Genomic DNA, 14,661 nt, shown 5'->3' with positions numbered 1-14,661 from the left:
CCCTACCCCAGCCCTGGCAATGCTCTCTTCACTCAGGCGCTACACTGCCTTTTTTTTTTTTTTTTTTGAGATGGAGTCTCTCTGTGTCACTCAGGCTGGAGTACAGTGGGGTGATCTCAGCTCACTGCAACATCTGCCTCCAGGGTTCAAGTGATCCTCCTGCCTCAGCCTCCCAAGTAGCTGGGATTACAGGCCTGCACCACCACACCTGGCTAATTTTTGTATTTTTTGTATTTTTAGTAGAGACGGGGTTTCGCCATGTTGGCCAGGCTGGTCTCGAACTCCTGACATGGTAATCCACCCACCTCAGCCTCCCAAAGTGCTGGAATTACAGGCGTGAACCACCACGCCTGGCCTACACTGCCCTTTTAATAACATGAACCAGATCAGTGTTCTCCTGATTCAGTGTCCACTGCTGTTCCATTCCACTCGGGGAAAAACTCACCCTCCAAGCAGCTCCAAAAGTCCCCGCCCCTCTGACCCCTGCTCCTGCCCCCAGCCCCGCATCAGCCCTTCACACTCGGTCCACAGGAGGCCCCTCCCAGCTTCCACAACACATGGATCTTAGGCCCATCTCCTCGTGGTTCCCTCTGCCTGAAGTACACGTCCCCAGTCCTGCAAAAGTAGTTCCTGAACCTTTCGGCCTCAGCCCAAATGCCAAGACCTCTCGAGGACTCTCGAGGACTCCCTGACCCCAGGTCTCTGACAGCACTCCTCAGAGCCTGAGGTTGGCCTCTGTCTTTTCCTTACCTTCCCCCTCCCAGTGCCAGCCCCATGAGGACAGAGCGTGCTGGCCCCTGGTCGCTGCTGTGTGGCCCCCAGGACCCCCCAGGGAGCTTGGCTCAGAGCACGTAGTCCAGCACACACGGGGTGCAGATCCCGACAAAGTGCTACCCAACCCATGCACTTCCTTAGAAGGACAAGCCTGCTCGCCCACGAGGCCCCTGCCCTCTAGAACCATCTTAGACAATGGCCCCATTCAGAGACGGGCAAAACTGGGCAACCCAGACAACGTCCACACCTGCCCCACTACTAGCAAACTGGACAAAGTCCCCGGGGTCCTGGCCCTAATTCTGTCCAGAATAGTCCCCTCACTAGAACCCAGAAACACACCCCTGTGAAGAAGAAAATTCATCTTTTCAAATTATCTTGTCTGTGCCTACAAAATAAATGCTCTTTGATCGAATGTGTCAATAAGGCTGAGAGCTGACATGCTGGTAATCAACAGAGATCTCACCCCTCATTTACTAACAGATGTGGGTTTTAATCAGAGGCACTGAGACAGCATCACGAGGACTGTGCCTGCCCCGCATGCCTCTTGCCACAAAACAGGGTTTGCCATGACTGCTTTCAACTGTTACACAACATTCAGTTTCCAGGAGGTGGACAGAACTGAGCTGAAGTGTCCTGCCCCGCCCAGCACCCGCTCCCTCTCACTGCTGGTGGCGACCAGTGTAGTGGTTTAAAGCCTGCATTCTTCCGAAAGCCCCTCACCCGCAGCCCCTGCCAGGGTGCCAAGTCACACCTGCCTCGCCAAACGGCGCAGGAGGCTCTCTCAGGCGGGGCGATGGCCACATCCAGAGGGAGCCCTGCGACAGCACGACCACACCTCAATCAGCCTCAGCGCTCTGGCCAACCCAGGGCCCGTGATTACGGCACGGAACCAGCCACCATGCTGTGAACACTTGCACATGTACGCGTGTACACAGGTACATGCACACATACACAAGGCACACATGCATCCACATGTACAGCACTCACAGCTGCATGCACATGCACACACACCCGACACCTATACATGCACACACATCCATGCACTCACTTGCACTTACACATGTAGGTGCACATACACTCATGCACATACGCACTCCCACGCTCCCTTTCACAAGATCACGCTCCATGCACGCGCGCACACACTTTCACATACACTTTTGTGCACACACGCAGACTCACACCCATGCACACACAGAGCACGGTCTCCCTGGGATGCTTCATCCCTGGATCTCATTAGCACCGGGCCTCACTGATGTACATTTCCCTCTCCACCCCTCCTCCAGTAACCCCCGACCCAGTGCCTGCCTCCCCGACACACCAATAAAAGTTCCTCCACCTGGAGCCTGGCTTAAGGGTAAAAGGGTAAAGATTCTAAAGCCATCTGAAGTTCCCAGGGATTTGATTAACCTTTTGCTGGAAACAATCTCATTAGGAAATAGCCTTCCTCACTAAGATTGTGAGCCAAATGTCAGGATTTAAATATTACCCAGGCCAAGTTATATTTAAAATGTTTAATGGCCAAGGATTTAAAAACATGAGTGGCTCCTGTTTCCCCCAAGAACAGATTCAGATGTAATTAGGACAGAGCATGGTTGTTTCTGGGCCCCTGGAGCTCTGGCAACTTCTATATTCTTATCTCTGGAAACACTGTCATTAGGCCAAGGGTGACCAAGACCACAGTGGCCAGAACACGCCAGCCAGTTGTGATTAATTCATCAGCAAAGTGCTGACGAGACTGGATCTCATGAGGCCTTTCTAATGATGATGATGAGAAGGAGTTGGGGTCGGGGGGGAGCAGGGACCACTACACCTATCCCCATTTGCATAATTCTCAGGCACCAGAAGGGTACCCAACTGGCTCTCGCCTGTGCTCATGGGATTCCTGTCTACCATCCAGCCAGGGCCACAGGAAATAAATGACCACCTCCAGGGGCCCCAGGAAGCACTCAGTGCAGTTATGATGAGGTGAGGAAGACCCTAGAAGACAGGTGGCTGCCAGCCCCAAGGGACGGCTAGGAACAAACAGGGTTCTCCTCCTGCCAATGGGCTCAGGAGAAAGGTGGCAGGAAATCCAAACACCACGCAGCCCCCCAGTCACAGGTTCTGCACCCACCCCTCATGAACTTATCCACATACCTCCCCTGTGCGTTCAGCCTTCACCTCACTTCATCTCTGATATGTTTTAGCTGTCTCCACCCAAATCTCATCTTTAACTGTAGCTCCTATAATCCCCATGTGTCGTACGAGGGACCCAGTGGGAGGTAATTGAATCATGGAGGCAGGTTTTTCCCGAGTTGTTCTCTCGATAGTGAATAAGTCTCACAAGATCTGATGGTTTTATAAAGGACAGTTCTCCTGCACACGCTCTCTTGCCTGTTGCCATGTAAGACATGCCTTTGCTCCTCATTCACTTTCCATCATGATTGTGAGGCCTCCCCAGTCATGTGAAACTCTGAGTCCATTCAACCTCTTTTTCTTTATAAATTACCCACTGTTAGACATTTCTTCATAGCAGTAGGAAAATGGATGAATACAATCTCACTCCTGAATCTGCAGAACCTGTGTGAAACAGGACTCTAGGCGACCCTCGGTTTTCCTCCTTTTGCTGGGAAATGCCACAACTAGAGAAATAAGATGAATGCACAGTATGATGACTGCAGCTGACAACGCCGTACTATGCAATAAGTGCTGGAACTTTGCTAAGAGAGTCCATTTCAGGTGCTCTCCTTGCTAAAAACAAACAGGTAACTGTGTGAGGAGATGCAAATGCGAATCTGCCTGACTGCAGTACTCATTTCACTATACGTATACACAGCAAAATACCATGCCGCGTGCCTTACGATACATACCATTTTTACTAAAAAATAACCTTCAAAATAGAAATAGATTCTTAAAAGAAATGAGATTGCACACTGCCCGTAGGATTTTTCTCAGCCCTCACTCTGGAGGGAAGAGCCCTGGCCCTTGGTGTCCCTCCCTTCCTAACAGTTTCACCTTCTGCTTCTGGCACCTCCCATGCCCTCCTCTTGGAGAGGGGGCGTCCACAAAGGCAGAGCATGCTGGAGACGCCCCGACCACGGTAGAAGGCAGGCACAGCTCTGCATCTGATCCCAAGGAGCCTTCCTGGTGCTGCCTGTCCCTTGCTTTGAGCACAGCATCTTGGTACCTACCCTATCCTGTCAACCAGGTCCCAGAGCACATTGGGCGTGGGCACCAGGGGGGAGCCATCGTACAAGACCATGGCCGCTCCTGTGGCCAGAAGGGACACCATCCAGTTCCACATCATCCAGCCGACCTGCAAAGACAGGAGGGATGCGGCTTCAGCGGGCGCTAGGCAGCTCCCCCCAGCGCTGCCCCCTCAGCTTCCTGTGTCCCTGGGAAACCACCTAAGATGGAGCCACAGGTTGGTGCTAACTTCCCATTTCAAATGCAGGACACTCTGGCCCGGCAACTCCACATCTAAGAATGGATCACACAGACATATTCACACATGTGCATGAAGATGTGTCACAGAATGTCTGTTGCACCCTTGCTGGTGACAGAGACAAAGCAATGTAGGTGTTATCGACACAAGCAAGGCCACAGGAGGTGCACACTTGCTACTGACACTCCTACACAGTCACTGAACCCACATGAGGCGTTCTGAACAGCACCTGACCCCCAGCAGTATGACAGCAGCCATTGCACAGTCATGAAACAGAATGAGGTCTGGACTGACACGGAACCACCCCAAGACATTGTTCATCCATGATGAATGGTGTCGGGAACCTGCCTCCCGCCCGCCACAGCCTAGTGCCATCCCCAAATCATGCGGGCTACAGTGACCCAAAACCAGCGTCCCCTGGAGGGCCCACCCACACCTACTCCCCACGCACAAAGGCAGAGGGCACAAGGACACAGCCAAAGGTCTCCATTTAGTTGAGGTGCTTTCTTCTTTTTTTTTTTTTCCCCTGAAACAAGGTCTCACTCTGTCACGCAGGCTGGAGTGCCGTGGCACAATCAGAGCTCACTGCAGCCTCGACCTCCTAACCTCAAGTAATCCTCCTGCCTCAGCCTCCCATGTAGCTGGGACCACAGATGTGAGCCACCACGCCCAGCTAATTTTTTTATTTTTTGTAGATGAGGTCTCACTTTGTTGTCCAGGCTAATCTTGAACTCCTGGCCTCAAGGGATCCTCCTGCCTCAGCCTCACAAAGTGCTGGTATTACAGGCATAAGCCATCACACCTAGCCATTGAGCTGCTTTCTGAACAGGTCTTAATGTACTCGTTCAATTTCTTTTATTGAGGAACTGTTCCCAAAGAGGAAACCAGTGCCTGGAAGCCCCAAGCAGCATAACATTCCTGGCCACCTCATTGTCCAACAAAGCTGCTAAAAGCTGAATCAAGGCCTGGTGGCTCACACCTGTCATCCTAGCATTTTGGAGGGCAAGGTGGGAAGATCACTTGAGCTCAAGAGGTTGAGACCAGCCTGGGTAACACAGTGAGACCTGGTCTCTATGGAGAAACATTTTTTTTTTTTTTGAGACGGAGTCTCACTGTGTCACCTAGGCTGGAGTGCAGTGGCACAATCTCGGCTCACTGCAACCTCTGCCTCCTGGGTTCAAGTGATCCTCTCACCCCAGCCTCCCAAGTAGCTGGGATTACAGGTGCCCACCACCACACCCGGCTAACTTTTTTGTATTTTTAGTAGAGACAGGGTTTTTCCATGTTGGCCAGGCTGGTCCCAAACTCCTGACCTCAAGTGATCCACCTACCTCATCCTCCCAAAGTGTTGGGATTACAGGCGTGAGCCACCGTGCCTGGACTCCAAAAAAAAATTATTTTAATTAGCCAGGCATGGTGGAGTGCACCTGTGGTCTCAGCTACTTGGAGGCTGAGGTGGAAGGATTACTTGAGCCCAAGAGTTGGAGGCTGCAGTGAGCCATGATCACCACTGCACTCTAGCCTGAGCAACAGAGTGAGACTGTCAAAAGAAAACAAGAAAGGCAAAGGGAAAAAGGAGGACAAAAGGCAAAGGGAAAACGGGAAAGGAAGGGAGAGGTAGGGAGGGGAAGGGAGGGAAAGGAAGGGGAAGGAAGGGAGGGAGGGTGGGTCACAGTATAGCCTGGGCCCAGGGCTGCAGGACATGAAACAACTGCCACCAAGGCTGCTGTTAGAACCCAGGTCGGGAGGCCGGGCGCGGTGGCTCATGCCTGTAATCCCAGCACTTTGGGAGGCCGAGGCAGGCGGATCATGAGGTCAGGACATTGAGACCATCCTGGCCAACACGGTGAAACCCCATCTCTACTAAAAATACAAAAAAAATTAGCCAGGCGTGGGGGCGGGCGCCTGTAGTCCCAGCTACTCGGGAGGCTGAGGCAGGAGAATGGCGTGAACCTGGGAGGTGGAGCTTGCAGAGAGCCAAAATCGCGCCACTGCACTCCAGCCTGGGTGACAGAGTGAGCCTCCGTCTCAAAAAATAAAACAATAAAATAAAATAAAAATAAAAGAACACAGGTGGGGTCAAGCTGCTCCAGGAAAAATCTAACTGCCTGATTCTTAGTGGACAGGATCCTTCCAGTAAAAATGAAATGCCTCTGAGAAAACTGCTCCAAATTTTTGAGTTCTTTCCATTGTATCCTTCCTCTCAATACAAGACCCTCCCATTTTAAATTGCCGTGTCCCAGGGAGGCAGCCGAATCCTGCATCATCGTAGCTGCTGGGAGCTTCCTGCACCTCCGTAAGGACACTGCACTGATGCTGCTGCCCGGGCTTCCCGCCCTGAAATGTTTCAGAAAGGACCCAGCACACAAGGGTCCATGGTGGGGGTGGGGCTGGCACTGGTATTCTACGTTAGGGATTGGGGACAGGGGTGGGTTGTAGAGCAAATCCCTGCAGAAAAAAAAACCTGAATCATTTGTCTCAAGCCCCTTATTAATTCACAGCTGGTCACAGAGAGCAGGGAGGGGCCTCTCCACAGTCACACATCAAAAACACACCCAAGGTCACCACTCTTGAGCCTGTGTGAGATCCCAGGGGTCTGTCCCCTGCACGGGTGTATGTGTGAGGTCTCAGGGGTCTGACCCTTTCTGCATCTCTGTGTAATCCCAGGGGTCTGTCCCCCGTCCTCCATCTGTGTGCAGTCCCAGGGGTCTGTCCCCACTCCTACATCTGTGTGCAGTCCCAGGGGTCTGACAGTCTCCTGCACCTGTGTGAGGTCATGGGTGGGGGGTCTGATACTCTCCTGCACCTGTGTGAGGTCACTGGGGTGGGGGGGTTGTCCTCCCTCCTGCATCTGTGGGGAGTCTCTCATAAGGGGCACAGAAGGGCCCTGGGCATTGACCTCACAGGTCAGGCATGTGCCTGCTGCATTCCACTTGGCATAAAGACTCAGCAGGCCAGGGGCGGTGGCTCACGCCTGTAATCCCAGCACTTTGGGAGGCTGAGGCGGGCGGACCACAAGGTCAGGAGTTCAAGACCAGCCTGCTCAACATGGTGAAACCCCATCTCTACTAAAAATACAAAAAATTAGCTGGGCGTGGTGGTGCACGCCTGTAGTCCCAGCTACTCAGGAGGCTGAGGCAGAAGAATCGCTTGAACCCAAGAGGTGGAGGTTGCAGTGAGCCAAGATCCAGTCACTGCACTCCAGCCTGGGCGACACAGCTAGACTTCATCGCAAAAAAAAAAAAAAAAAACTCAGCACAGAAGCATCACCTAGGACCTGTAGCTAGATCACTGTGGAAGCTCTTGATGTTTTGAGTTCTCCTCCTCTGGGGTAAAATACACTTCCTTTAACATGTCCTAACCTTCTGTCTTTCAGTGCTCAACAAGGGCAGGAAGGCCTCCAACACCTTGAGTTGAGTTATGGTTTCATGGCGTGGATTCCACGCTGCTGAGGCAGGGTGGGCGGAGGAGCGGGCCCAACTCGACACCGTGCGCTGGGGAAGCCCTCACCACAGTGCAGCACAGGCAGCGCCCCAGAGAAGCCCCTACCACGGCGCAGCACAGGCCGGCGCCCGGGGAAGCCCTTACCATGTGTCACGGGCCAGCGCCCGGGGAAGCCCTTACCATGTGCCACGGGCCGGCGCCCGGGGAAGCCCTTACCATGTGCCACGGGCCGGCGCCCGGGGAAGCCCTTACCATGTGCCACGGGCCGGCGCCTGGGGAAGCCCTTAACATGTGCCACGGGCCGGCGCCTGGGGAAGCCCTTACCATGTGTCATGGGCTGGCACCCAGGGAAGCCCCTATTGTGGTATAGCACAGGCCAGCACCTGGGGAAGCCCTTACCATGTGCCACGGGCCGGCGCCTGGGGAAGTCCTTACTATGTGTCATGGGCTGGCACCCAGGGAAGCCCCTATTGTGGTATAGCACAGGCCAGCACCTGGGGAAGCCCTTACCGTGGTGTAGCACAGGAGGATGTCACTGCTGGTCATGTTGCCGTGCAGCAGGTGCTCCTTCAGATGCTGGATGAGGGTGCCCTGCAGGGGAGACACGGGGGAGCGGGTGCTCTCTGTTAGGCATACAGTACCAGGAATCTGGTACCTGGCCCACGCGCTGCTCAGACGCTGCCAGGAAGAAGCCCCAGCAGATCCCCATTTTCTTTCCTGGGAGAAGCAGACTTTGGAGGGTTCCCCCCACTCCCCTGTGATGAGCCATGCCCCCATGTCCCTCTCCCCCAAGAGCTGAGCGTGGCTTGTAGTCTGGAGAGGAAAACCCTGACACTCCTGTCTGCCCTCAAGCTCTCGGTGCCCAGGACATCAAGGGCACCACGGAGGCCCACCAGCTTCAGGCAGAAGAGAAGTGACCCTTCCTGAGAAGAGAGTCAACGAGCAAAAGACCAGGGCCTAACCCTTCCAGGACGGGTGCTAGCCCAGCCTCATGAGGGACAGGGAACAGCGGGGTGAGGGGGATGTGGTGGGGGTGGGGCACTGGCAACAGAGCAAGACTGTAGCTGGGACTCACGTTCAAGATCGGATTTCAGGAATGCCTCAGCTGAGGGGACAGCACAAGACCCTGCTTCTGGCTAAAACACCCAAGCAGAACCGCTCCCTCCCACCCACTATGCCCTATTACCTTTTAATTTTGGTGCTTAATAGGCAATGTATTTGCACGGTCCAGAACTCTGAAGCAGATACTATGAAAAGCCGTCCTCTCTCCCTGTCCTGTACCCAGTTCTCCCAAGAGGCAGCCGGTCCTAGCAGTTTCCTGTGAACGTCTTTCTTGCTGATGCCGGCACATATTTATTAATGCCATTTTGTTCATTGTGACACAGTGTCCCGCACTTTGCCTTTTCCACCTAACAGCACACCTGGGAGCTCTTCCTTGGCATGCCGGGAGCTCCCTCATGTCTGTTTACAACTATATAATCTTCCACTGCCCAGAACACACTTGTTCCAAGCAACTCTGTGTGTCTGGCAGGGGCAGGGAGGAGAGGAAGCTTCCCATCGCCAGGCACAACCCAGAGAGCAGAGCCAGTGGCCCCTGCACCCGTCACTCCACGCTCCCAGCCTCGGTTTTCCTGTCTTTCCAACGGATCTCGTACAAGATCCTGAGGACAGACGGGGATGCTGCCCCTTCAGTGACCACTGCCCTTCAGTCTGGTCCACAGATGTGAGCCTCTGGCTCATCACAAAGGTGCTCCTGGTTGTGGAGGGCCTAGAAGGCTGAAGCAAGGACTTATATATTAAAACCCAGCCATGAAGGCCCTCATTATACCCAAGGGAAAAGCTTCCAAAAGCCAGTTGCAGGAGATGATCCCTTTAAGAGCTCACCAGGAACAATCCTATCCAACACAGGCTCCCATTCAGGAGCCAAAACTCCTATTCCGGAGTCCATCCCAAACAGGCAACCGCCACCCAGCCCACAAACAGCAGCAACTGAAGCTTCCAGAGACTGCCAGGCAGACAGGCAGACGCTGCCTGATATGGTTTGGCTCCAAGTCTGCATCCAAATCTCATCTTGAATTGTATTCCCATAATTCCCACATGTTGTGGGAGGGACAAGGTGGGAGATAATTGACTCACGGGGGCAGTTTCTCCCATACTATTCTCATGGTAGCAAATAAGTCTCATGCGATCTGATGGTTTGATAAGGGGAAGCCCATTTCATTTGGTTCTCATTCTCTCTCTTTGCCTGCTGCCATCCATGTAAGATGTGACTTGCTCCTCCTTGCCTTCTGCCATGATTGTGAGGCCTCCCCAGCCACGTAGAACTGTTAAGTCCATTAAACCTTTCTCTTATAAATTGCCCAGTCTCAGTATGTCTTTTTTTTTTTTTGAGACAGAGTCTCGCTCTGTCACCAGGCTGGAGCGCAGTGGTGTGATCTCGGCTCACTGCAACCTCCACCTCCTGGGTTCAAGTGATTCTCCTGCCTCAGCCTCCCAAGTAGCTGGGACTACAGGCACACACCACCATGCCCAGCTAATTTTTTTTAGTTTCAGGAGAGACAGGGTTTCACCATGTTGGCCAGGCTGGTCTCGATCTCTTTACCTTGTGATCTGCCCACCTTGGCCTCCCAAAATGCTGGGATTACAAGCATGAGCCACCACACCCAGCCCTCAGTATGTCTTTATCAGCAGCATGAAAACAGACTAATACACTGCCCTTTTCTGCAGTCCCCCAAGGCTGCCTCCGGGCTCTGGAAGCTGAGCTGCAGGGTGGAGTTTAACAAGAATCCCCAGTCAGGGTCAAGAGACAGCCTCCCCTTCCCTTCCCTTCCCCAGGCACTCAAAAGCTTCTTAGAAAGTTACATGACAATCTGTTCTCCTGCACAGTGGGTAGGCAATAATTTGGGGGTGACAAACTTTTCAGGAACTGTCTCCATGAACTAAATCTTTCCACGAATCCACTTAAAGGACAGGGAACTCGGATTCTAGGAGCCTGTGGCAAATCCCTCTCCCACTTTCTTTTTCACTTAAAATCAGCACTTAACTCTACAGCTTCGCTCACGTGGTCTGCTGAGAGCACAGCAGAGATAGGAGCCCACCTTCGTTCAGTGGTTCATTAGCCTCATTCTCTCAGATGGCACAAAACAAATGATGGGCCCTCCTCCTCTCTCAAGAATTTCTCTGTGTGACTCTTAACAAGTTACATCCATCGTTTTTCCCTTAATTCTTAAATATTTATGGTCAAGTCTGAATGCTTTCCCTGAGGGTAAGGCAGCATAAACAGTTTCCTGGGTCTCAGCGCAGGAGAGTAATTTCATGTAAAGGAAGAGAAAGGGGAGCCACTTTCTGACACCTTTCACAGACTTAGGAAGCACAAACCAACAAACCAGTAACAGAACCCCACCCTACTCAATTGGGAAGATTACGAGCAGCCCTAGGACTCTGGCCTATGTTGCCTCACTGTTTTCAAGTTTGTAGTCAAGATAACTCTAGAGAACGAGCAAGATGCTTAGTCACTTCTCCAGAGATGCAAGAGCCCAGTGAAGATGGAGTACATATAATTTTTCCTGATTTTTCCACACTCTAAATATACCAGGCATGATCATTTTATGAGCAAGCTATATTATATCTAATACATTTTTATGCTCCTCTTAAAAAAATGACATGCACTATGCAAAGAGCACTAAAAATAAAAGTACAGTTATACATTTCCATTTTTCCTAAAATGTCTTGTTTGGCCACATACACCCGCCCCCGCCCCGACCCTTGTCTGCAAGATTTCTAAAAATGCTCATCTCGGTGGCTCACTCACAGACCTGCACCCAGGTGCAACAGGGCTGCCCTTTCACAGGGAAAACGCGATTCCAACTACACCTTAGTCTGTGAACACACCCCGACTGGCTTTCATAAAATCAGACGATTTGAGCGACAGGACAGCTCGCTGCCTGCAAAGAGGCAACTCCGTTGAGCCAGTGTAACTGCTAGAAATAAGGCCTTTGCCCCCCACCCCTGACCTCAGCCCCTCGCTCCCACCCCTGGGTTTCTTGAGAATTAACCTGCTGTGCGTGGACAGGCTCTTGGACCTTCAATCTATTTCACAGCCTGCAACAAGACCTTCAGTGAATCTAGATCTAGGTGATGATGAAACCACATTGGCTCCTTTCCACATTCTGATGAAAATACTCTGTAAAAAGCCTAATAGGGCTTTCAAATGATTCCAATGTAAATATTTCCTTTTTATGGAAGGGATTCAAACTGCTTCTAGGTAGAGGGAACGTCTATAAAAGCTAAGTGAGCTAGAATAAGGGAACTTGTATATTTCCTTTTCAAATGCCACTGTCTTATCAAGCAAAGGTTTCTCCACTTGGAGAATTCTCTTCTTCTGAGTTTGGGGGAAAAAGTGGTGATCAGAAGGTTTGACCAAGATACAGTGGATTTTTCTCCTCCCTATAGGCTGAGCCAACTGATAGGGAAATGGGGAAATGAGCTATGGGGAGAGCTGAAGAGCTGGCCCAGAGGAGAGCCTAGAGCAGCGTGAGGGTGGGAGCCACGGCGTCGCAAGCATCCTGACTCCCACAGACCGGCCCAGGAGAAGTCTGAGTGCAAGGTAAGGATTCAACCGAGTCAGGAAGCCCAGGGGCAGAAGAGGATCAGAGGAAGTAAGATGTGATAGCAGTTATTAGAAAAGCACTACATTCAGCTGGGCGTGACGGCTCAGGCCTGTAATCCCAGCACTTTGGGAGGCCAAGGAAGGTGGATCACGAGGTCAGGAGTTGGAGACCAGCCTGGCCAACATAGTGAAACCCCGTCTCTACTAAACACACACACACACACACACACACACACACACACACACACACACACACACACACACACACAAACTTAGCCGGCCGTGGTCGCGGGCGCCTATAATCCCAGCTACTCAGGAGGCTGAGGCACAAGAATCGCTTGAACCCGGGAGGCAGAGGTTGCAGTGAGCCAACATTGAGCCACTGCACTCCAGCCCAGGTGACAGTGCCGGGACTCCACCTCAAAAAAAAAAAAGCAAAGCACCACATTGACCCAGGCATTTCATTTCTGAAGAGTGGCCTAGTGAAATCACAGAAATGAAATACACTAACGTTGTATCCCCCCGATAGATGCACGGAGAAGAACACCACATCATTTCCAGCGTGTTCCCACCAAAGCTGCATCACCTGGACCTAACCACGAGGAGACACCAGACATACCCAAACAGAGCCATTCTGCCAAACCAGGAGCCTGGGCTCTTTGAAAATGTCAGTGTCACGGAAGACGAAGAAGCCCAAGGAGCTGCTCCAGACATGCAGGAGACCTGACGACTGACGTGCCACCGCCTGAGCTGCTAGGACGCTACTGGGGAACTGGCGACCTGACTGTGGACCATAGATGAGGGGGCGGCACTGCACCAACGCCAACCTTCCTGAATTTGATGAGCGCGCTACACACTCTTCTGTAAGAGAACGCTCCTGTTCTTGGGAGATACGTGCTGAAATATTAAAGAGTGAAAGATCATTGTGGCTCCAACGTACTCTCAACTGGTTCAACAAAAAGCAAAATAACAACATGTGTATATACGCTGAGAGAGAAAGAAGGCGAAAGAGGCTTTTAGGACGTGTTAAAAATGGATGTTGACATCAGGCACAGTGGCTCATGCCTGTAATTCCAGCACTCAGGAGGCCAAGGCGAGAGGATCACTTGAGCCCAAGAGTTCATGACCAGCCTGGGGAACATAGCAAGACCCCATCTCTACAAAAACAAAAAAGTAGCACGTGCCTGTAGTCCAAGGTACTTGGAAGACTGAGGTGGGAGGATCGCTTGGGCCCAGGAGGTAGAGGTTGCAGTGAGCCATGATCACGCCACTGCACTCCAGCCTGGACAACAAAGTGAGAAACTATCTCAAAACAAAACAAAACAAAAGGACGTTGAAAATGTTAAAGACAGAATGTCAACAATGGAAGAATTCAGCTGAAGGGTACCATGGAGCTTACTATTCTTGCAGCTTTTCTAGAGGTTCTCTAGGTATTTTATTTTTTTCAAAAATAAAAGGTTTGGTTGAGCATGGGTGGCTCACATCTGTAATCCCAGCACTTTGGGAGGCCAAGGCAGGTGGAATATATGAGCCTAGGGGTTTGAGTCCAGCTTGGGTAACATGCCAAAACCCGGTCTTAAAAAAAAAAAAAAAAAGCCACAAAAATACAAAACAAACAAAAAAACGAGTAGGGCATAGCGGCACACGCCTATAATCCCAGCTACATGGGAGACTGAGAGGGGAGGACTGCTTAAGCCCAGGAGGCAGAGGTTGCAGTGAGCCAAGATTACACCACTGCACTCCAGTCTGGGCGACAGATCAAGACTCCATCTCAAAAAAAAATAAAATAAAATAAAATAACAGGTTAAAAGTCACTAACCTATACATATACATTCTATTGCATAGTAGTAACATATTATTTCAGGTGCTTTAATAAAGTTAGACTTTCGGTGAAATAAGAAAAATTAAAAGCATGTGTCATGGGCTGAACTGTGTACCCCCAAAATTCGTATGTTGAAGCCCAATACCTAGTATCTCAGAATGTGACTAAATGGGCCTTTAAAAGGTGACAGAGTTTAAATGAGGCTGTCAGAGCAGGCCCAGATCCGATCTGACTGGGGTCCTCAGGAGAAGAAGCTTGGACCCATACAGAGACACCAGCGGTGTCACGTGAAAGATCACACGAGGACAGAGCAAGAAGGCGGCCGTCCACAAGCCAAGGAGAGAGGCCTCAGACAAGAGCAACTGTGCGGCACCTTGGTGTTCCACACAGCCTGTGGTGTTTCGTTATGGCAGCCCTAACAGACTCGCAGCACGGGCAGGCTCTTTCTCAGTTAATTAGACTCTAATAATAACCTAATAACCTAGTAACCTAGCCTTCTAATAACCTAACCAGTGGCTTTCAAATATTTTACCACAACCCACGGTCAGACATAAGTTTTACAACGCCCCCAGCACGTGCACACATTCC

General features: G+C 51.5%; 1 protein-coding gene across 12 annotated transcripts in view, besides 2 other annotated features; it reads right to left on the bottom strand.

Moving 5' to 3' along the window:
- Positions 1-14,661, bottom strand: part of AACS (acetoacetyl-CoA synthetase) — a 77,882-nt gene that overhangs the window by 20,607 nt on the left and 42,614 nt on the right. For 8 of the 12 annotated variants that reach the window (NR_183033.1, NM_023928.5, NM_001319839.2 and 5 more), the window contains 2 exons: positions 8,153-8,233; positions 3,945-4,069 (listed from right to left, as the gene is read on the bottom strand). Coding sequence is in view for 9 of the 12 variants with exons in the window: in NM_023928.5 (NP_076417.2) it covers positions 3,945-4,069; positions 8,153-8,233 (206 nt within the window). In the remaining 3 variants the exon portion in view is untranslated. Of the gene's footprint in view, positions 1-3,610; positions 4,070-8,152; positions 8,234-14,661 lie in introns of those variants that run through there. The other 4 variants (NR_183032.1, XR_007063117.1, NM_001414677.1 and 1 more) reach the window with 2 other exon arrangements.
- Positions 326-1,275: an enhancer, noted in NCBI's record as "H3K4me1 hESC enhancer chr12:125605981-125606930 (GRCh37/hg19 assembly coordinates)". NCBI's record gives its function as "activates a minimal SCP1, AML or CMV promoter by ChIP-STARR-seq in primed H9 embryonic stem cells {active_cell/tissue: H9 hESC(primed)}" and the evidence as "EXISTENCE:reporter gene assay evidence [ECO:0000049][PMID:30033119]".
- Positions 7,975-8,194: an enhancer, noted in NCBI's record as "active region_7321". NCBI's record gives its function as "activates an Ori minimal core promoter by ATAC-STARR-seq in GM12878 lymphoblastoid cells {active_cell/tissue: GM12878}" and the evidence as "EXISTENCE:reporter gene assay evidence [ECO:0000049][PMID:35858748]".

This window comes from Homo sapiens, chromosome 12 (assembly GCF_000001405.40).
Source record: "Homo sapiens chromosome 12, GRCh38.p14 Primary Assembly".
Lineage (NCBI taxonomy): Eukaryota > Metazoa > Chordata > Mammalia > Primates > Hominidae > Homo > Homo sapiens.
Note: the sequence above shows the minus strand (reverse complement) of the source record. Positions and strands in the feature narration are given on the sequence as shown.